At 42.3% G+C, this 22,476-nt stretch overlaps 1 long non-coding RNA gene across 1 annotated transcript, besides 1 other annotated feature; it reads left to right on the forward strand.

Annotated features, from left to right (window-relative positions):
• LOC101927847 (uncharacterized) lies at nt 4,403-22,473 on the forward strand. Its single transcript, NR_109791.1, has 3 exons — nt 4,403-4,470; nt 13,263-13,419; nt 22,168-22,473. It is a non-coding gene; the product is annotated as an uncharacterized LOC101927847 (long non-coding RNA).
• Nucleotides 4,443-4,492: an enhancer, noted in NCBI's record as "active region_28562". NCBI's record gives its function as "activates an Ori minimal core promoter by ATAC-STARR-seq in GM12878 lymphoblastoid cells {active_cell/tissue: GM12878}" and the evidence as "EXISTENCE:reporter gene assay evidence [ECO:0000049][PMID:35858748]".
• Nucleotides 22,474-22,476: the final 3 nt, after the last annotated feature.

Below are 22,476 nucleotides of genomic sequence, written 5' to 3' on the forward strand. Positions count from 1 at the left end.
TGTCATTTGCAAATAGCCTCCACTCAGTTTTCTTTGTGGTGGTTCATCTTTGTCTCAGGGATTTGTATAATCACCTTGGGGAAAACAATAGCTACTTGTCAAATATGTCAGATTTTTTTTTTTTTTACAGACCACTATTTTTTTGCAACTTTGCTCCCCTATACAGACTTTAATTTTTTCATGTGGTCTCATGTTTTCATCTTTCCCATATTGGCTTTGCCTAAGGGTTCTTCTTTTAACAGTGGGGCAACTTGCTTTTGGTGTTCTTGTCTTGTTCTATTTATGCTCCTCCAATGCTGGAATAACCATTTGGAAGCTAACATCTTGATACTTTGCTCTTTAACGATTACTGGCTGCTCATATGAAGTAAAAGACTTGCCAAAAAGCACTGAGACAAACAATGGCTTTAACTTTTAAATAGGAAAAAATATGGTCTCTCTTGTTCCTAGAGGCATTCTAGAAGACAGGGGCTGTTTCTTCTATTTTCTCTGATCCCACATGGGTTCATAAAAGTGTTTAAAAAATAGTTGTTAGAAATTAAAGAAGACCTAAATAAATGGAAAGACATTCCATGCCATAGCTAGAAATACTCAACAGTGTCCCAGGCACCTAAAGCGATCCATAGACCTGCAGATCCCTATCAACATTCCAACGGCCATTTTGCGGAAATGGAAAAACTAATCCTTAAATTAATATGGAATTGCAAGAGGAACCTGAGTAGCCAAAAAATCTTAAAAAGGAAAAACAGAGTTGGCAAACTCACATTTCCTGATTTAAAACGATATAATAACCAAAATAGACATCAAGATTGATGGAACATATTTGAGATTTCAGAAATAAACTCACATTTATGGTAACTGATTTTCAACAAGGATGTCAAATGTGTTCAGTGGAGAAAGAATATTCTCTTTAAACAATGGTGCTGGGACAACAGGGTATCCACATGCAAAAGATGTACAAAAATCAACTCAGAATGAATTAGCAGCCAAAACAGAAGAGCTAAAACCATAAAACAGAAGAAAACACAAGAGTACATCTTTAAGATCTAATATTTAGCGATGCCTTCTTAGATATGTCACCAAAAGCATGAATAACAAAAGAAAAAAATAGATTAGACTTCATCAAAATTAAAAACTTTTGGGCATCAAAGGACATAATCAAGATAGTGAAAATAAAACCTACAAAATGGGAGAAAATACTTGGATAAACAAAAACATATAATAACTATTATCCAGAAACAAAGGAAATGCCTTTCTGATACATTCAGCAACATGAATGAAACTTGAACACATAACGTCAAGTGAAATAAGCCAGACACAAAAGAAAAAAAGGATGATATGATTTCATTTATATGGACTATCTAGAATAGGCAAATTCATAGAGACAGAAATTAGACTCGAGGTTACTAGGGGCTGAGAGGAGGAGAGAATGGGGAGTTACTGCTTCATGGATACATAGTTTCTGTTTGGAGTGATGAAAAAGTTTTGGAAATGGTGAGGATTGCACAACGGTGGGCATATAATTAATGTCACTGAATTGTACACTTACAATGGCTAAAATGGCTAATGTTACATTTTATTTTACCACAGTTTTGAAAATTAATAGTGTACTATACCAAAATCACTGATTGACACTTTACCTGGGTGAACTGTTTGGTATGTGAATTATATCTCAACAAAGCTGTTAAAAATTATTTTTGCACTTTGGGAGGCCAAGGCGGGTGGATCATGAGGTCAGGAGATCGAGACCATCCTGGCTAACAAGGTGAAACCCCGTCTCTACTAAAAATACAAAAAATTAGCCGGGCGCGGTGGCGGGCGCCTGTAATCCCAGCTACTCGGGAGGCTGAGGCAGGAGAATGGCGTGAACCCAGGAGGCGGAGCTTGCAGTGAGCCGAGATAGCGCCACTGTAGTCCGGCCTGGGCGAAGGAGTGAGACTCCGTCTCAAAAAAAAAAAAAAAAATTATTTTTGATCTGGCCTGGCCACTAACTCTCAGTCATTTCAGATTTCATGACTTCCTCGTAGAGATATTTATCAAAAATAATCATCCTATGTTTATGTTTTCTTCTAAGAGTTTTATGGTTTTAGCTGTTCTGTTTAGGCTGCTGATTCATTTGGAGTTAATTTTTGTGCATATTCTGCATGTGGATTATCTGTTGTCCCAGCACCATCTTTTGAAGAGAATATTCTTTACCCATTGAATAAGGATGCATTTGGCATCCTTGTTGAAAATCAATTAACCATAGGTGGATGAGTTTATTTCTAAACTCTCTATTATATCCCTTTGATCTGGAGAGAAAGATATAGACCTCTTATGTTCAGAGTTAAAAAGAAACCCTTGGGAAACTTGCTGGTGTTTCAGGACACCCTCTTTGTCACCCGCTCTTTGGAATACAGCACATTGGGACTGTCAGTCGTATTACCACCTGGGACCTCAGGTCAACTCTCAGGGCCTTGATTACTTCATTAGCAAAGTCAGTGGCTGAGAACAGGGGTGTCTTCATCTCCAGAATTTTGTGTTGCAGCAGTAAGCAGAGAGCTGAGAAGCCCCCAGCCAACACCTCCTTTCCATCAGCTCCTCCACTCGGCTTTCACTCTTGCACCTGGCAGTGACAGGGACTTGATGTCCTGTGTTGTGGCAGTGAGGGTCCTAGCGGTCCATCACCCTGGAGTTTCCTCCCATTCCTTTGCCCCATCTCAGCCAGCCACCCACAGGCAGGCACAGGTACTCACACTGTCTGCCTCACAGTGGGGAAGATTAAGGCAGGCCCCCAGTATAGCTGGGCTGGCATATCCTTGAGAGGGCTTCAGTCAGAAATAGTTTTGTTCTCTCAAACTTGGCCTTGGCAATAGTCAATTTTTCTTACATGCAGGATAAATTGGATTTATCTTCAAAGTTAGCCAGCAATGCTAAATGCTGGTTAAAAAGCAGTTCTCTGCTGGGGTAGAGAAAGCAAGTTCCCATGTGTCTCAACCCATGTGAAAGAGGGAAGAGAGAATGTTTCCATCCAGGGTGGTTCATTCACATAAGGGTGACAGCATTCAGGATATAGGGTACTGAACAGAAGGGTTTTTAGTTGTGTTTTTTTTTTCCGTGTGTTTATGATATAATTTATGCACCATACAATTCACTCATTTCAAGTGTGCGATTTAATGACTTTTAATGTATTCATAGAGTTGTGTATCTATCATTACAGTTCGCTTGAGAACATTTGCATTATGTCAAAACAAAGAACCCTCCCCCTCTTTCCCACCTCAGCCCTAGGCAATCACTCTTCCACCTTCGGATTCTAGGGATTTGCCTCTTCTGGAGATTTTCCTGAAATAGTTTCATACAACATGTGGTCTTTGATGACTGGCTTCTTTAACTTAGCAGAATGTTTTTAAGGATCATCCATGCTGTAGCATCTTCACCCCTTTTTCGTGCCAAACAATATCCCATTGTGTGGATCTATCACCTTTTATTTATTCATTCATCAGTTGATGAACATTGGATGCTATCTACTTGTTCACAATTGTGAACAATACCCCTTTGAACTTTGTGCACACATTTTTGTGGGGATACACGTTCTAACTTCTCCTGGGTATATACATAGGTGTAACATTTCTTGGTCATGTGGTAACTCTATGTCTAACCATTTGAGGAGCTGGTAGGCTGTTTTCTAAAGCAGCTGTATTACTTCACATTCACATGCACCAGCAGTGCATGAGGGGTGCAATCTCAAACAGTCCTTAAAATACAAAGCCAGTACATATACAGCATGAAATACTACGCAGCCATAAATAGGAACGAGATCATGTCCTTTGCAAGGACATGGATGGAGCTGGAAGCCATTCTTAGCAAACTAACACAGGAACAGAAAACCAAACACAGCATATTCTCACTTATAACTGAGAGCTGAACAATGAGAACACAGGGACACAGGGAGGGGAACAACACACACTGGGGTCTGTGGTTAGGGGCAGGTGGAGGGAGAGCATCAGGATAAATGGCTAATGCATGCTGGGCTTAATACCTAGGTGATGGGTTGATAGGTGCGCAAAACACCATGGCACATGTTTACCTGTGTAACAAAGCTGCACGTCCTGCACATGTATCCCAGAACTTAAAATAAAAATAAAATAAAATTATTTTTTTTTTTAAAAAGCCACTTTGTTTAGAAAACAGTTGGTTAGATCCTCACAATGTTAAACACAGTAACCATATGACTCAGCAATTCCACTGCTAGGTATACATGAAGAGAAATTAAACACACAACCATGCAAAAACCTGTAAATGGGTATTAATAGAAACATTATTAATCATAGCCAAAAAGTGAGAGAAGCTAGTCACAAAAGCCACTTCTATGAGGTAATAGGGGAGTCAAATTCACAGACAGTGGAGTAGGCGTTGCTGGGGCTGGAGAAGGCAAAGTGCAGAGGAAGGAGGAGCCACTGCTAGTGGGTACGAGGTTTCTTCTTGGTACAAGGTAATGAAATTGTTCTAAAATTAGAAAGCAGTGATAATTGCATAGCTTTGTAAATATACTCAAAACGGTTGAACCATACACTTTACAAAGGTGAACTTTATGGTATGTCAACTGTAAATCAATAAAGCTGCTGAGAAAGAGGGGGAGCTCAGCTTCATTACTCTGTTTTTCCAGCATTAGGCTTTTCCCTGGACACTAAGGATTTAGTTAGTCTCTCTCTCTCTCACACACACACACATATGTACACATCCTCACCCATGTATTACAATCTTCTCCTTTTCTCTTCATCCTTCAAAAATATCAATCAAATGGAAAGTGAGGTTCCCAGTGTAGAGACACTGCCAATCCTACTGAGATCTCAAATAGGTGGAGGCAGAGGAAGGTGGCTGTTAGGGCTTCACTTTCCAGTAACCACAGGGCAGTAGGAGCTCACATGAGCCCACCTCCTCCTATGAGAAATTCATGAAGATGTGGATAAAATGTGATGCCTCAAAAATACGCACAAGAGCCCAGCAGCAAAAGCATAAAGAGCACTGAGCCCTGGAGTGGCAAACTCCAGCTGCTGCCCGCAATCTCTAGGCGCTGGTCAGGCGTGGAGTCCATTCGGGGGTGGAGTCCATCCGGGCAGGCTTCAGAGAGGGACATGGCCGCCTTGTTCACTGTGAGACACAGTAGCACAGGTAAGAAGCCACATTTGCTCATTTCTGCTGGCCAGCATAATTCCACAAAGCCCCTGACACTGTGACAACGTGGAGCTCTCTGGTGGGTTGCTTTGAAGACAAAACAGAATAGAGCACAGAGCACCTCCATGTCTCTCACCTGAGTCCCTACATTCCTATAGTCAAAACACACATGATCCTAGTCCTTGCCTTTTCCTACACATAAAATAATGTCCAGTTGGGCGTGGTGGCATATGCCTATAGTCTCAGCTACTCAGAAGGCTGAAGTGGGAGGATCACTTGAGCCCAGGAGGCTGAGGCTGCAGTGAGTCGTGATTGCGCCACTGCACTCCAGCCTGGGTGACAGAGGGAGACTCTGTCTCAGAAAAGAAAATAATGTCTGACCAGTGAGTGATTATGCCTCTGTAAAGTATAACCTGTAAGTGTACTCTTACACTTAAGCCTTGATTTGGCTCTGCTTTAATATAACTTCTGAGCAAGTTTGATGGGATTTTGCTCGTACTGAATCCTTACCACCTGTATCTGAGCTATGGGCTGAAACCCTGGCCAGAGCCATTGATAGATCCTCTCTAAAGAGCTGCTCCCAGGCTATTGGCTTCTGTGTGTAGCCCTCGACGAGACTTCTGAATAAAACTCACTTTAATTCTTTAAAAGCTTGATTATTTTACCTTTAGTCGACACTAGCAAGGAGCAGGCGGGAGCTGTGTCCCATGAAGGCAGGGCTGCAGGCGCTGCCGCTTCGGTGATGGGACTGAGCACTCTGCCCAGTGGGCCAGCAATACGGCCAGGACACATGGCTCCGTCCAGGCATCTGTGTGGAAAACAAGACCAGGCCCAAAGAGAAGACCAGGGCTTGGCGAGGGTGAAGGGCTGAGCGAAGTGGGAACAGCCGTACACGTGCGTGTCTCACAGACACGAAGCCCTCATGTCATAAAATCCTGGTTTGTTGCGATGAAACTGAAAATGCTACATGGCAATTGCAGAGGACAAAATACTTAGCATTGAATGACACTGAAAATACCCCTGCGTCAGGGCATGTGGGATGCAGCTAGAGGTGTGTGGAGAGGAACATGAAGCCAAAAAAGAAATACGGACATTCACAGGCCAAGATCCAACTCAGAAGACTAGAAAATGAACAACCCAGCAAACTTAGGAGATGGGGAAGGAAGGGAATTCAGAAGGTGATAGCTGCAAGCATCGGCAGACCAGTCCTAGCAAAATGGAGTTTAAAAGGGGGTAAGTCACAAATAAACAACACTAGAAACGAAAGTCAAACATAACTACAGATAAAGATTTTTAAAATACAATCAATCTTGAAAATAGACAAAACGTAAGTTTTGAGTGGTTGGGAAAATCTAGGAGTACAAAAGTTACCCCTGATAATTCCTAATTTTAACCTAATTAGAAATTAAACAATTGCTAACACAAAATTTTAAGACTCCAAAGGGAGTTTTCTTCCTAAATTTTACATTTTTTTATTTTTTAGAATTAAAAATATATATATATATATTTATTATACTTTAAGTTCTAGGGTACATGTGCACAACGTGCAGGTTTGTTACATATGTATATATGTGCCATGTTGGTGTGCTGCACCATTTTTTTTTTTTTTTTTTTTGAGATGGAGTCTTGCTCTGTCGCCCAGGCTGGAGTGCAGTGGCGTGATTTTGGCTCACTGCAAGCTCTGCCTCCCAGGTTCACGCCATTCTCCTGCCTCAGCCTCCCGAGTAGCTGGGACCACAGACGCCCACCACCATGCCAGGCTAATTTTTTGTATTTTTAGTAGAGACGGGGTTTCACCGTGTTAGCCAGGATGGTCTTGATCTCTTGACCTCGTGATCCACCTGCCTTGGCCTCCCAAAGTGCAGGGATTACAGGCGTGAGCCACCACACCTGGCCACAAATTATTTTCTTTTAATTTTCAAAACAAATGAAGCTTCTGCCAAATTTGTAGATGCCTGGGTCTAGATGCCTCATTTAACTTTCTTCCCTTTCCTACACATCTTGTGCTAAGCAGCACTTATTTTATAAGATTTCTTAAAGGACCATGATTATTATACGATTATCTGTCCAGAATTACCCCCCTTTCCAACCTGTTTACCTGGTGCATGCTATTATTCCTTTCTCCCTCCCTCCCTTCTTTCCTAATCCAGGGGTTATCCCTGCTGCAAGAATCGTTGCCATCTCTACACAGGAGTTCTGCACAGGGAGATGGCCCGTATATTAATAACTTTAAGGGGCTGGGCACGGTGGCTCACACTTGTAATCCCAGCACTTTGGGAGGCCGAGGCAGATGGATTGCCTGAGGACAGGAGTTCGCGACCAGACTGACCAACATGGTGAAACCTTGTCTCTACTAAAAATTCAAAATTAAACAGGTGTGGTGGCACATGCCTGTAATCCCAGCTACCCGGGAGGCTGAGACAGGAGAATCTCTTGAACGCAGGAGGCAGAAGTTGCAGTGAGTTGAGATTGTGCCATTGCACTCCAGCCTGGGCAACGAGAGAGAAAACCTGTCTCAAAAAACAAAAGCAAAAACAAATAAATCATGTTCAGCAGTTTAGCAGGAAAATCTACTCATCCTGAAACTGCGTTTGAAACAGTAGGGTAGAATAGAATTTTCCTACTCCTGAGAAAAAAAAATAAACTTACAAACTCCCCTTGGCAGACTTCAAATACCTACTGCCCACTTGTTCTGGAGGCTCTGCATTGCTGGTAATATTACTTTGGAGAAATGAGATTCGTTCTTTCAGTGGGGTAGCAGGTTAGACCTCTATACATCTTACATGGGCATTGGGCTTTAATCAGTACATGGGGCAAAAAATGACCTGCAGTTTCCTGAAGTTTCTCTTCAGGAATATTCTCCAACTTGGGGATTGCTACTCAATGAGTCTAGTACACTTATTTCTCTCGACAGGGGTGAGAAGTCCCTTTCTTCACTGGAAGGCCCATACAATATGTGACCAAAATAGGCATTTTTAGGCCAAGAGAACCTATCCAGTGTTGTGACATGGCCTGTTATGAAAAATTAGTTGTGAGTGTGTCTACTGGTAAGAGAGTAAAAGGAATGCATTTAAAACCTGATTTCACTTGTGCCTCTGCCACTTTCTCATGGGATCTGTGGCTTTATTGAGGACTTTTTTCTAAGAATGTGAACAAACAAATTGTAATCATCAAACAATATAGGCAGTATAAATAAAATGCTTAAGATTCCTCTCATCCTTCCTCAATCTTCCTTCTCCAGGTCAGGAGACCTATGTCTTTCTCTATATTCTTACAAACATGTAATATGTAGAATGTCTGTTTTTATGTCATTCATCACTTTTTTTACATTTTTGTTTATAATTGTGGTAAAATACATATGATGTAGAATTTGCCATCTTAAGCATTTTTTAAATGTATAGTTGAGCAGTGTTAAGTATATACACACTGCTGTGCAACCAATCCCCAGGATGCTTTCACCTTGCAAGACTGAAATTCTATGTCTGCTAGATACTAACCACCTGTTTCCCCACTGCCCCAGCCCCTGGGATCTACCCTTCGACATTCTGTCTCTGTGAATTTGACTTTTCTCTTATGAGTGGAATCATACAGTCTTTGTCATTTGGTGGCTGGCTTATTTCACTGAGCATAATGTCCTCAAGGTTCATCCATGTTACATAGCATATGTCAGAATTTCCATGTTTTTAAAGGCTGAATAATATTCCATTGTATGAATGGACCACATTTTGTTTCTCCACCCATCTGTCGATGGACACTTGGGTTGCTTCCATCTTTTGGCAAGTCATTCCAGACCTTTGAACAGTATTTCTGGAAGAAAACTTTACCCAATCCAGTCAACTCTGGAAGTGAAGAGCATATCCTCCCATATCTTCCTGCATTTATTTATCCATAAGTGCATTCCGTTAGAGAGTACCTAGTGAACGCCAGGCAATAGGGGGCTTGTTTCACAAAAGGCGGTAAAATGGACATGCTCCTGACATCATGAAACATGAATGGCTTAGATGGAATATAAAGTGAAGGAATAGGAGTGTGAGACAGGCTCTGAAAAAAATGGGCCATGTCAATGACAGAGACAATGGGAGGGTCAAGGATGGTATACTGAGAAGATGATAGTTAAGCTGAGACTGGTAGGGTATGGAGCAAGGCATGCACATGAGTGTTTTTGGTGTGGGTGCAGGGCTTCTCATTAGAGAAAATATGCTGAAGTGGAAAAAAGCATACAGAAGGCACAGAAGAGGCTGGCATGGCAGGTGCACAACGCAGGTGCCCTGCAGGGACAGTGGCATGAGATGGGCATGGAGGGGGAAGGGTGGACCAAGGTGTGAACTTGGAGGATATTCCATATGCAAAGCATATTCTGAAGAATTTAAGTGAGGATGTGGCAAGACTGTAGATATGTTACAAAATATTAACGTGGGAGAAGAATAATTTGAAGGGGAACAGGAATGGAAGCAGGAAGGTCATTAGGTGGCTACTGCAACAGTCCAGGCATGAGATAAAGAAGGATGGATCTGGGGTTGCAGCAGTGGTACTGGGAAAAAGTGGGGGAACCTGAGATATATTTTGCAATTTAAATATATTTTAATTTTAATTTTAATATATTTAATGTAATTTAATTTTAAATATAGTTTAATTTTATTTTTTAATTTTGCAATTAAAATGGGACTTGGGGGTGAATTGGAAGCAGGAAGTAAGGGAGGAAGGAGATGAAGATGATGTCCTTCTTTCCTGTTTCTTTTAGTCTACAACACTTTGTTGTATTCCCCAGCATGGGGGCTTAGGTAGGCCCAGCACACACAACACATTTTTGTGGGCTTGAGACCCTGCTCCTGCTTCTAAGTCCAAGAGCTGAAGAATGCTGGCTGCCTTAAGCACCTTTGCTTTTCCCTAAACCTATGGGTTAGAGGATCTCTTGTGTAAACAAATGTCTGCAGGTAGGGGTGCTCAGTGGCAACTCTGTTTGGCCATAGGGGTGTCTGGACAACAGCATATGCAAAATAGGCCAGAGGTACAGGGACATTCTATTTGGTATTTCACCCTCCATTTTGCTAAGTCACGTGATGACTTCATTCATGACCCATATGAACTATTTTTTCAAATGTTTGAAGTCATAAGACATGAAGAGAGAGAAAAGAACTTGAAAGCTAGAGAAGTAGAAGAAACATTTGAGGCTTTATCATGCTTCAGTTTTCTGTGTTTTAGGCCCATCAGTTCTTACCTTAAAAATGAGAACATTTTATTAAATTTCCCCAAGTTTCCTTCCAGCCCTACCAATTCATGACTCCGTAGAGTAATTGTCTTATTTTTAGGGACAATAAGATCATGTGAGTTTTTCAAAACAAGAACAATAACCTTGTATCAACAAAAAACTCAAAGTGAAAATGAAATATATTTGCATTCGTGGAACCTAAAACGTGTAGAAGTACTACAGTAGATAAGTCACTTCTTTTTTATTTTTTTTTCCAAATTGAAATATAGGAGTTCTGCTTCTGATTGTGATGAAATAGTTTGTAGCAGACCAATGTTCTTGCCCAGAGCCACTGAAAAAGCCAGATAAAATGTAAGAAGCTGTTGAAATGCCCTGAAGAGCCATAGAGGCAGCTCCCAGGAGCCACTTCCTCAGAGCCCACATCCGAGAGGAGTGTGTGGCATGAAGAGGAGCTTTAATGGGCTGCTTGTTACTTTGGAACATCTGTTAATTTTGGCAGATGGGGCAAGAGGCCGAGAACATCACCATCTTGGACAGAAGCAGGCTGTGGAGAGGCCCAGAAGCCAGCAGAGCTTTCAGAAATCTCACAGACCTAAAAACAGACTTTGGACCTAAGGACTGGGGAGATGGGGACAGCATTTGCAGAGAACAGGGTGGGAAGGAGGGGGGCAGTGAAGACAAGCATTTGCTGAACTCTTCACCTGAATGGTAACAAGACTAAGAATTAACAGGAAGCTGCAGGAGATGCAAAAACAACTGTAGTACATAACGGGGAGAACCGTAAGTTATGAGTTCATTGGATACTCTCTAGAGGGGAGTCCTGTGTGACCTCTCCCCAGAAGCCATGCTGCATGAATGTAAATTGATTACACAAGCCGTTGTAAGTCATGGATATCTTGCTTGAAGTATTCCACAGATAGATATTCTCCAAGCAAAATATTATTAGTCTTTTTGCCCCAAAGCCCAGAATTATGCCTTAATTTATTTCCTCTAGGACCTTCCCTTCACCCTCCCATAATAGAGGGAAAAATGCAACACAGCCCAACTGCTTTAATTCTGTTCTTCATGGTGTTTCAGGGGGAAACTCAAACCAGACCACTTGGGTTTTGAACCTGGCACTCCATGTGAATTTAGGCATGTTACTTTCAGATGTGCTACATCTGAAAAAAAAGCAATAGTACATACATAGTAGAATTGTTATGAGCATTAAATGAATTTTGTTAGCTTTGCACACCGTAAGCACTCATTCAGTATTTATTACCGCTGTTATTGGCTTATCTGAATTAATACCAATATCAAGTAGAAGCAGCATAAGCGCGTTTAGCAAAAGCACAACCAGTTCTTGGGAAACCTAAATTGAGGGCTTCATGGGTATTGATGTGGAAATATACCCAGACTGTGAATGCCATTAGCATAGTCCTTCAAGTCCTTCACCCATGTAAGCTGGATATGTTCAGATAAGTGTTTGCGATGCTCCAGCCAGATGTAGGAAGGGCAGCTGGTGAGTCCTGGAGAACATCGTCCTGGCACCATCAGGGCTTTAGATGTGGCATGGGCTTTCTTGCCAACTCGTCTGGTGTCCTCAGCTGGCAGGAGGATCTGGCTGTGTGCAGGGCCCTTCTGCCCACTGCACACCTCTGTGTTAATATCCTTCACACTAAGCACACCATTCAGCTGCTGAAGTCCATGCCTGTGAGTCCAACAAAGTAGGTGCATGTCAGCATCCAGGAGCTCTACAAGGATAGGACAACAGCAGCCCAGCTAGTTGGAACACAGGTGTGCAAGCATCTCAGAGGACCAGTGGGGCATCTGACTGGGTTGGTTGAGTGGAAGGCAATCCAGAATGTGGCTACTGTAGCTGCTTTCTTTTTTCTTTCTTTCCATTATAGAAGTTACAATACTTGCTGAAAAAGAAAATCATGTAATAATCAAAAGCATAAAGAAGCAAATTAAAATTACCTTTAATTCTACCATCCAGTGGGTCTGTTTTCTGAAAACGTGATTCATTTTGGTTTCTAAACTGTTTGTAGTACTAGAGTTTTTACTTTGTTTTTGTTTTTCAAAATCATGGCAAATGAATGCATGAAAATTTATCCCTAGATTCCAAACTTCCAGTAATTAAATGCATGTGTCTTTTCTGCAATACAATTCATCCAAGGTGAATAAAAAATTGACAGTGATTTTGGTAACACATCAAACGGCAGGTCATTTGTAATACATTCAGTGGCCCCCTCGCCCCTGTTCTCTCAAAGGAATTTCAGTCTTGCCTTGGTCAGAATTAAAAGGTAGATAAGCTGTCAACCTACAAGCTTCCTGGTCTAATTAATTTGGGGACAGCAATGCTGTGAGACAGTAATAAGCATCTGTTTTCTTTTTCCATTTTCTCATGAGGTTATCAATTCCTTTTTCTGTACATGTCAACTGCAAACCTGAGAATAGACTTCAAGGGAAAATTTGGAACAATGCATACTTTCTAAATAAAAAAAAAAGAAATGAAAAATGAAGAAAGGAAGAAAAAGGAAGGAAGGGAGGAAGGAAGGGAGGGAGGAAGGAAGGAAGGAAGGAGAAACAAAAAGAAGAAAGAAATAAAAGAAAGAAAGAGCAGATGCAACGCTGCTCATTTCTTCTTTCAATATTTCATATTTAAAGTGAAATCTGCTGCTTTTTACTGTGCATATTTGTTCTTTGACCACACTAGTGTTTTGCAAAACTTAAATTATTTGGATTTTAGAAACAACAACTAGGTCACCATGGATGCTACACTATTTCTTTTCCCAAATATTCATTTCCCTTACAAAGTGGCAATTCGCATAAATTGTAATGTTGGAAGTACACAGACTTGAGATTGGAAGGGAGTGAAGTTGCTCAAAGTCGTTTAAGTTGTTGATTTTATCTCCTAGGACTTCTACGTTCTGTCCTCCTGCAGCCATCTAAAATCAGCCAGAAAGGTTTAGGATCCCATTTCCTGTTCTTGCATCGGCTGTCCAAGCTGCTGTTCCTCTCTCCGCAGTAAGAGGGTGTTTCTCTCCCTGTTCAAGAGGAGCACCAACACTTGAGGTTTGGATTCCATCTTTTCCTGCCCCTTCTGCAACATTATCTTCTCTGCCCAGTAGTAACAGCCTCTGCCATAGCTAAAGACAGACCAGAAAGAACTCTCCTGAGAACTCATACCCCTTCATAGGTACATCCCCTCCCCTCTCCTTCCCTTTAGGGACCTTCAAAAGCAGCTATTTTGTTCTCCTCTTTCACTTTGATCCTTTATTTCTAGCTCTGTAATATACTGTTTTTGTCTCCACCATTCCACTACAAACTAGAAGTTTAGACTCCAGAAGTTCTTCAAGAGCTTTTTATGTTGATTTTATATATTTTTTCTATTAATCAATCTAGACACACACACACACACACTTTTTAGCCATTTGCATTCTTGACGTCTTATGTTGATTGCCAATGCTGATGCCTCTCAAATCGAAAACTCATAACCATACTTTTGTTTCAAGCCCTAGGCCAGTATCCAATTTCTTAGTAGACCTGAGCATCTGGATCTAGACAAGTTAAAACCTAACTCATGATTTCCTCTGTTTGAGTCCACTAGACTTGCTCCTAAAGCTGACCCTTTACACACATAACTCATATGTGGTGAGTAAAGCCACCATCCCACCTGCTGTTCAATAACACACCTCAGGGTGATTCTAGGTGCTGCTCCCTAGCCTCTCGATTCCATCAGTCACTCACCCAACCCTACGGATTCTGTTCTAAAATATCTCACTTTATTACTTTATTACGGGTTCCCACCCTTTCTTACCATTCACATTTTAAAAAACCATTTACAATAACCATGACATACAACACTCAAGAAAATAGCATAAAATTCACATATATATTAGGTTGGTGCAAATGTAATCATGTTTTTGTTTTTTGTTTTTTTTTTTTTTTTGCACCAACCTCATAGTATATCAGAAACAGCCAAGTAACCGGTCCTCAGGTCAAGCAAAAGAACATTCCTCGAATTCTGGAAGGTTCTGAGTTTTCTCTTCTGGGTAACATCCTCTTCCTCCTTCTGAAGGCAATCCCTAGACCAGTTTAAGAGTGATCACTTCTTTACTTTTCTCCTAGTTTCCTCTCTGACACGTGCCCTGAATTTCCCTCTCTGTGAACGGTATGTATTCTCTTCCTTCATTTTCATTTCATTTTATTTTTTCATTCACAGTTATGAGTTTGAGATTCATCTATGCAGCGAAGCACAGTCGTTGTTGTGTAGGGTTCCATGGCATTAATACAGAGCATGCTTTTTTCCCATTTGTCACTTGGGGTACACTAGGTCGTTCCTAGTTTAGAGTGGATCATAACACCACTGCCTTCAGGACGCACTGCAGTTCCACTCCCTGGTATGTGTCTGAGAAACCTAGGGTGCATTCCTTGGAGTGGGATCCCAATCTCAATTGGGGATGGTCCCAATTACCTACCCTACCACTACCTGCAGTGGAAGTACAGCATGAATTCCTAAGTGATTTCTGCAATAGCAAATGAATCCTTCTCTTTTTCCTTTCACCTTCGATGTCAAGGATCTTCCCAAGGTGCAGATCTGATGATGCCACCCTTCTGCATTGCATCTTTTTAATGACTGCCCTGCACCCTTGGACGATATTTATATTTTCTAGCAATGGCATTTAGGACTGATTGTGATCAGAGATCTGTCCTCCAATCCAGACTCCCACCTTGCCATTTGCTTACCTTGGCGGTATACAGCACCCTTACAGAAGTGCTCCCAGCTACTGCAACATGAAAGCATGTCTTCAAGAGCTGACCCTTTTACACACTACCCTTCATTTGTATGAAATCCTTAGGGAAGACATTCCCTTATCTCCAGCCTGAGTGCAGTGCAAGTCCCCAGGATTCTGAAATCTCTCCAGGCATTCATTTATTATAGCAGCTATCAAGTTGTATTGAAAGTATCTGTTTACATTGAATTCATTCATATCCTGCCTTCTTACACAAAAGGGTTGGATAGATGAAATACAATAGAGATGGAACCATATAAGCAGATAAGTGTAGCTAGACTACAGTTTAAAGAGGCGAACATTGGAAATTAGACAGACAAGCTATGGGATTTCATGTGGTCATTAAAATTGGGTCCCAGAAAGACACTAAGGACAGGGACCACAAAGCAGGTGTGCACCTTCACCAGATGGTGGGAATGGGGGCTGTGTATTCCATCTCTAAATTCCCAGTGCCTGACACCTCCTCAGAGCATTAGGATCACGTGGGTGTTGAAGTGGATGCCCAGGTAACAGGCACCTTTAGAATTGCCATGACCTCATTCGTGTGCTGCAGAATGATGCTGGTGTACATGGCTAGACGACTGAAGTATTTGGAAGAACGAGTGCCATTTACAATCTGCAATTGCTAACTAAACTGTCTATAGGGACAATCCATCATCAGCTGTCACAAAGACTGAGCAGGCTTAGGAGGTGGGAGCAGCTAACAGGGCAATGATGGAGGGCCTTTGAAAATTAAATAAACACGAAGAAAAATTTAAACAGTCAGCTAAAATAACTCTTGTTGTTCTTAAATATTTAGAGCTTCCAGTTTTATAACTTTTTCCACAAGGTTAGAAGAAGAACACTCAGGATTTAGGAATCTGTCTAATAATAAGTGTCTTCAATGACTTAGGGAGGATGGGCAGGTAGAAAGTGATTTGTTTTGAGACCAGCATCCTAAACTAGGTTCATTCACAACCATTGTCTGAGAGGCTGCCATTCACACAGAATAGATGCCAGGGAGGAGCAGCTCCTGGAAACTGCATCCCCTTCCTTCCATCTGCTCACCAAGTCCTGACCACATTATGGGGACCAACAGAATTTACCCTGCCTTGTTCCCTTCAAATGTGATTTGGGAAATCAGGAAATTTTTATCTGGAGCCAGTAAGAGACGGTTTTATTTATTCTGATTTCTCTTGGGAGATGCATTCGATGGAAGACATCAATATTCTTTTATATCGTGCAGCCCGACATGCTAAAGTCTTGTTAATGAACACTTTCCCATCTGGCAGTTTCTCCGTAGCAGTTCCATGCCTGGTGGTGATGGAAAGGTTTCTCAGAACACTTAGGTTTTTTCAGCCAGCCAGACAAATAGCATCCTGTAGGCTTACTTAAAATTTGTTTTTTGGTTATATTGCTGTAACAGGTGAGTCTTAAATCCCCAAATTCTAAGAAAATAAAGCCTGAGGGCAAGGAGGACATGTTTGACACCATAGCTCACTTAAAGGTAAACCAAAATATGCCTGGAGAACAAAACAGAAACTGAGCATTACCTTAGAATAATAATTATTATTATTATTATTGAGACAAGGTTTTGCCATGTCGCCCAGGCTGGAGTGTGCTGGCGCTATCAGTGTTCATGGCAGCCTCAACCTCCTGGACACAAGTGTTCCTCCCACCTCAGACTCCCAAGTAGCTTCCCTTTAGGATTTAAAGAAAAATGCTGAGTTAATAGATGGCATGAAGAAGGCCAGGATTACTCTGGAACACATCACCCTGAGCCTTCACAACAGCATGGGCTCTTCTGGTGGACACCACCTGGCTCCTGCTCAGCATGATAGGAGCCACATGACTGAGTTCAGCATTCAGACTGATCAATCCCATCTGTGGCTCACATGCCTCATCCCCATCTACATCCATCCCCAATAGACGTCCGAGGGTGCTACTCCAAATGTCATGCCCCCAAGTCCTGTGCAAGTTCTCATCTGACCCTACGGTGCATCCCTCCCCTCCACCCCCATCTTCTGGCCAGCCTGAGTACAGTGCATGTCCCCAGGATTCTGCCCTGTGTCCCATCAAGTTCTCCTCTGATCTTTGCTCTCACCTTTTGACACCTGGCTGTTCTCTGGGAACATTCTGTCACTGCAGATGCAGGGTTTTTTTCTCACACACTGCCTATATCAGGATTAGGAAGTGGAGTTGGTTTCTCCTCTTTCTTATATTCCTTCCAAACCTTTCTTCTCCCTCTCTCCTAACCAGAAGTCCCTGATGCTCAAGGATGTGTGTCACTGGCCTCTGCCGTCCCCTGCCCTGGTCATTGCCACTGTCTCCTTACTTGGTCCTTCTCAGTCATTTCAGACACTAGATCCAGCCACAGCTTTGTGCACACTCCATCCTGATCATGATCTACATTCTGATCATCATCTACACTGTTGTTTCCAACCTCATGGATGCCTAGGGTGGCCATATGTCATGGTTTCTCTAGGAGTGTCCCGGCTTAGGCCTATTGTCCTGAAGTAATTATCATCGGCACCACTTTCATTCTCATGCCTCCCCATTTGGAAGATAAATTATAGTGGTGGTCTTGTGGTCGGCCAGATATCTACTCCTCTGTCACTGCTTTCTCTTCATCTATGTTCTCCTCCCTCCCACTTCCACCAGTCACTCCTCCATCATATCTGGGATCTTGGGCTTACCAATATATAAGATCTCAACTCTGAGCATTCAAAACATGAGTGTTACCTCCTATTCTTTCAATTCCAAAGCAATTTAAACTTCACTGAGATCTTCCATTTGACAATCCCTTCACTCCCTCTGTGGACTGTTATTACAATCAACTTCCCGATGCCCTCTACTCCAGTAGAATTCCCTGCCAAACCCTAACCTGCTTTAGTGTAAGTATCTTTCTTCCTTCTGTCTGTGTCCAAGCAGAACTTGATTTTAAAAGTATCAATCACTCAACCGGACTGACTGGTTTCATCTTAAATCATGACTATAAATCTCAAATGAGCAATGATTCTACAGACCAATCCTATTCAGGTTCCCCCAATTGCAGTCTGCCAGTGTGTCAGGCAGTGGTCTTGAAGACAGAGAAATAGAATTTACCTCATCTGAACGACAGAAAGAAAATAGATTAGAAAAAAGAAAATGAAGAGAGCCTCAGGAACCTGTGGGACTCTGACAGAAGATCCAACATTCATATTTTGGGAGTCTCAGAAGGAAAGGAGACCATGAGGCTGAATGAGTATTCAGGGACATAAGGTTTATATATTTTGCCAAATTTGGGGACTTTCTGCTGTTGTGTGTTTGAATACTCTTTCTTTGTTTACATATTTTGTTCAGCTTTTTGAACAAATCCCAAATAGAGTACACCTAAAGAAATCCATGCCAAGACACGTCATAATTATACTTTTGAAATCCAAAGACACAGAAGAAACTCTTAAAAGCAGAGAGAGAGAAATGACACATCAGTTGTAGGAAAACACCCACTCAAATGACAGCAGATTTCTCATCAGAAACCACAGAGGCCAGAAGAAAGTGGTACAGCATTTTTCAAGGGCTGAAAGAAAAGGATTGTCAATAATGAAGTCTAAACCCACTGAAATTATCCTTCGGGAAAATAAAGACGTTTTCCTATAAAGGACAACTAAAAAAATTGTCTCTAAAAGACCTACCCCAAGTGATTGATAAAGGTAGCTCTTCAAGCAGAAAGGAAAAGCTGAAACGAAGAATCTTGGAGTTATCGGAAAGGAGGAAGGAACAGTGGAAAAGGCAGGTAGACGGAGACACAAACGAGACTAGGCTTTTATCTGTGAGTTTTAGAAACCATATTTGATGAGTGAAACCAACATAACACTATCTGATACTCAAGATGATATTTAAAAATGGGACCATAAAGAGGCCTAAATGGAAGTTAGGTTTCCACATTTCACTTGAAGTCATAAAATACAAAATCTAATATTACTCATTAAAAAACAACAGCAGCAAAAGAAAACCTCCTGTCTCAACCTCACCTTCCCCTTCACTACTTTTTCATCTCTCTGACATTTTGCAGCAATGCTTCTTAGAAGAGCTTCACTCACCATCCCACCCTGATTTTGTTTCCCTTCATACCACTCCATCCAAAAGGATCTTTTCAAAGTCCTTTGCAATTCTGGCAAGAATAGACAGCTGATATTTTCCAAATTGTCTTTGAGTAATCAAAGGCATTTTCCTGTCAGCTCTCTCTGATGTCAGGATTATTCAGAATATGTATTTTCTGAGTCATCCTCCCTCACTGCCTTTGGTTCCTTGACAATGGAGCTATACACGTTAAAGCACAAATACTCCTAATATTTCACATGCTGGCTTGGATTTCATCATTCCTAACAATTTTCTACCTTGAAATTAAAACCTGCTTACATCTACTAAAGGCTCAGTTTTAAAACAGCACTTGAACCAGACAGTCAGTCCTGTGGGGAATGACATAATTGCCCAAAGAACCAAGCCACAACCTTTTTACTGTACAAAGAGTGAACATTTGCAAGGGTTAAGACTTGTTCTATTTTCACTCTTAATTTTTTTGATGCTACACAAAATTATGGCACTCCCAGATATGGTGCAAAATTAGAGTCTTCTTATTTTTTCTTATGTTGACAGAACTTTGAACTGAGCTATTTTGAGTTCAGTATTTTGAGTATTTCAAGATCAGTTTCAATTTGTAAAGATGCACATCTCAGTACAGAGCAACCTCCAGAGGAATGAGACCCATCTAAAGTTTAGGAATCCTGTTTTGCCCAAACACAATGAAAAGGAAAGGAAATGAGAATATATGGGTATATGTATGAAGTGTGTGTGTGTGTGTGTGTGTGTGTGTGAGAGAGAGAGAGAGAGAGAAGCAAATTAGAATGAAAAGATGCACTTGAAAAAATCCATTGGCCTGACTTTAAATGTTCACTCAAGCAAGTCACGTAGCTCCTCTGAGCCTCCTGTGTGAAATAAGAGGATAATGCCAATCTTGCAGGATTATGGGGATGTTGTCCATGTTGATCACAAAACCTTGCTGACCTCTGTTCTCCATGAGGAAGACTCAAAGACTTGCTATTTCTGGCTTTGTTGGGGTGTTGGGGTGCCACATGACTCATTGTGGTCATGAGATAGGAGCAGAGAGCACCTCAAGGATGTGCATTTGATTTTCAATGTGAGGTCACACAGAGCTCTTTGGCCTGCCACATGGCCAGCATTCAAACTGGGGCCTTTTGGCCTGGCCTCTGAGCAGCAGTGATGAGCAGGGAGCCTTGGCGATGTGCATTGTCATGTTCCATGGGCTGGAATTAAATTTTGGTTGTTCCAAACCCTGAGATGTTCAGTCCTATGTTCCCAAGGCATTATCAAATTTCTGCCATATCAGGTGCCTGTTACAGTGATGGAGGTCAGAGACGCTCATTAGGCAGGGACGTGACAAATGCTGCTGTTGCTCTTGCTGTGAAATCCGGTCTTACTGATTCTTCCCTGGCTTTAGGAGAGTGTTGCAAACTCCTCATACCAACCATCCTCACATAACCCCCTCCTCTTAAAGTCTTTGATGGACCCACATTCATGTGAAGACAGAGAACCAAGTTGATTTTCCAACAGGCACTGGGAGTCAACCCAAGTTATTTGCTTATTGGTTGGAGGCGAGTAGCCGTAACCCTCATGGTAAGCCTGTGACAGTGCAAGTTTAGGTAAGATGCCATTGTGGTGTCTCCCTTCTCTGCCAGACTCCATTCTTGTTGCACTGACATTGCAGTGAGACAGCCCTGAATCCTGTGCTATTGAAGATGTGAGGCCCTCCTAAATGGCCTGCTTTATGGAAGGTTTTTTGGTACTTCCATCACCACATCCACAGAGAAGGCAATTGTAGGCTAAGGGATCAGGGGCTGTGATACTGCTGGTGCAGTGAGCCGCTCTGCATTTCCAAGGCCTTATGCTTGCTATAAACACCATTGTTGCCGGCTCTGCTCTTTGCCAGGGTGCTAATGGTCATGGTGGAAGGCAATGAGCAGACAGGAACCACCCCGGCCATGGCTGGCCTTCACTTCCCTCCACCTGCAGAGAGCCACGGACCCTTCTGCTGATGCTGGGAGACCAGCCAGACACCACTGCTGACTCCACCCATGCTCCCTCCACTTGTTCACACCTGCCACATGAATCATCCCAGAAAATGACTTCCACATGTCACCTCTGTGTTCCTCTCATGGTTCTCCATGCTTTGAGAGCACAGGCAAACTCCCTGTGTCAGTCAGCTAGGGTTGCTGTGACAGAGCACCACAGCCTGGTGGTTTAAACCACGGAGATTCATCATCTCCCAGCTCTGGAGGCTGCAAGTCTAAGATCAAGGTGTTGGCAGGGTGGGTTCCTTCTGAGGCTGTGAGAGAGAACCTGCACAGGTCTCTCTTCTGGGGGTTTGCTGGCAGCCTGTGGGTTCCTTGGCATGTGAACGCATCACCCTGACCTCTGTCTCTGTCTTTGGCATTCTCCGTGTTTGTGTCTGTCCTTGTGTCTGAATTTCCCATTTTTTACAAAGACACTAGTAATATTTGATTAACCACCCACCCCTCTGCCCCTGCCCCCGACCAACCCACTTGCCAGGACCTCATTCTAAATTGACTGCATTGGCAAAAGCCTATTTCCCAATAAGGTTACATTCTGAGGCACTGGGGGTTAGGACTTCAACATACGTATCTCAGGAGGAGGTGCAGTTCAGCTCAAAACACTCCCACAGTTGAGCAACCCAGGCTCTCCACCAGGTTTTCCAACCTTCCTTTTCCATCTTATATTCTGAATTCCAATACGCTTTCCCACCACGCCTGTGGTAGCCAGACTGCTTGAACACTTCCCTGCCTGGGGGTCTAAGCCTTCCTTCTCAGGTCTATCCATCCTTTAACATCTAGCTAAATCACTTTTGTGGAGGGTTTTGAGATTCCTCCAACCTTGGTGATATGGGTGAGTGCGCTGAATTCAATTTTTTGCATATACAACAGGTTGGGCAGCTACTCACGGGCTTTCTTGCAATTATCCTATCTTCCAGGACAGTATCATCCCTAGACCTTGGCAAGAGAGACCACTGAGTGAGGCATCCATGGAACCCAAGGAAGAGGCCTACGAAGAACCTGCAGTCACCTTCTAGACCATTCTCCCTCACCAAACTGTCCCCTCCAGAGAGCTGAGGACTGGATCTTCCCATGCTGACACCTCCAGTGGGAAAGAAAATTCTAGATTCAGCTCTGGGTGTCCAAGTCATTATGAAGGCATATTTGTCAAGGTGGAAGAAAAGGACATATTCTATTTAGCAGTTTGTAAGTTTGATCGATAACTTTAAAATATTTGGACCTATGGT

The sequence above is a fragment of the Homo sapiens genome, chromosome 9 (genome assembly GCF_000001405.40).
Source record: "Homo sapiens chromosome 9, GRCh38.p14 Primary Assembly".
Lineage (NCBI taxonomy): Eukaryota > Metazoa > Chordata > Mammalia > Primates > Hominidae > Homo > Homo sapiens.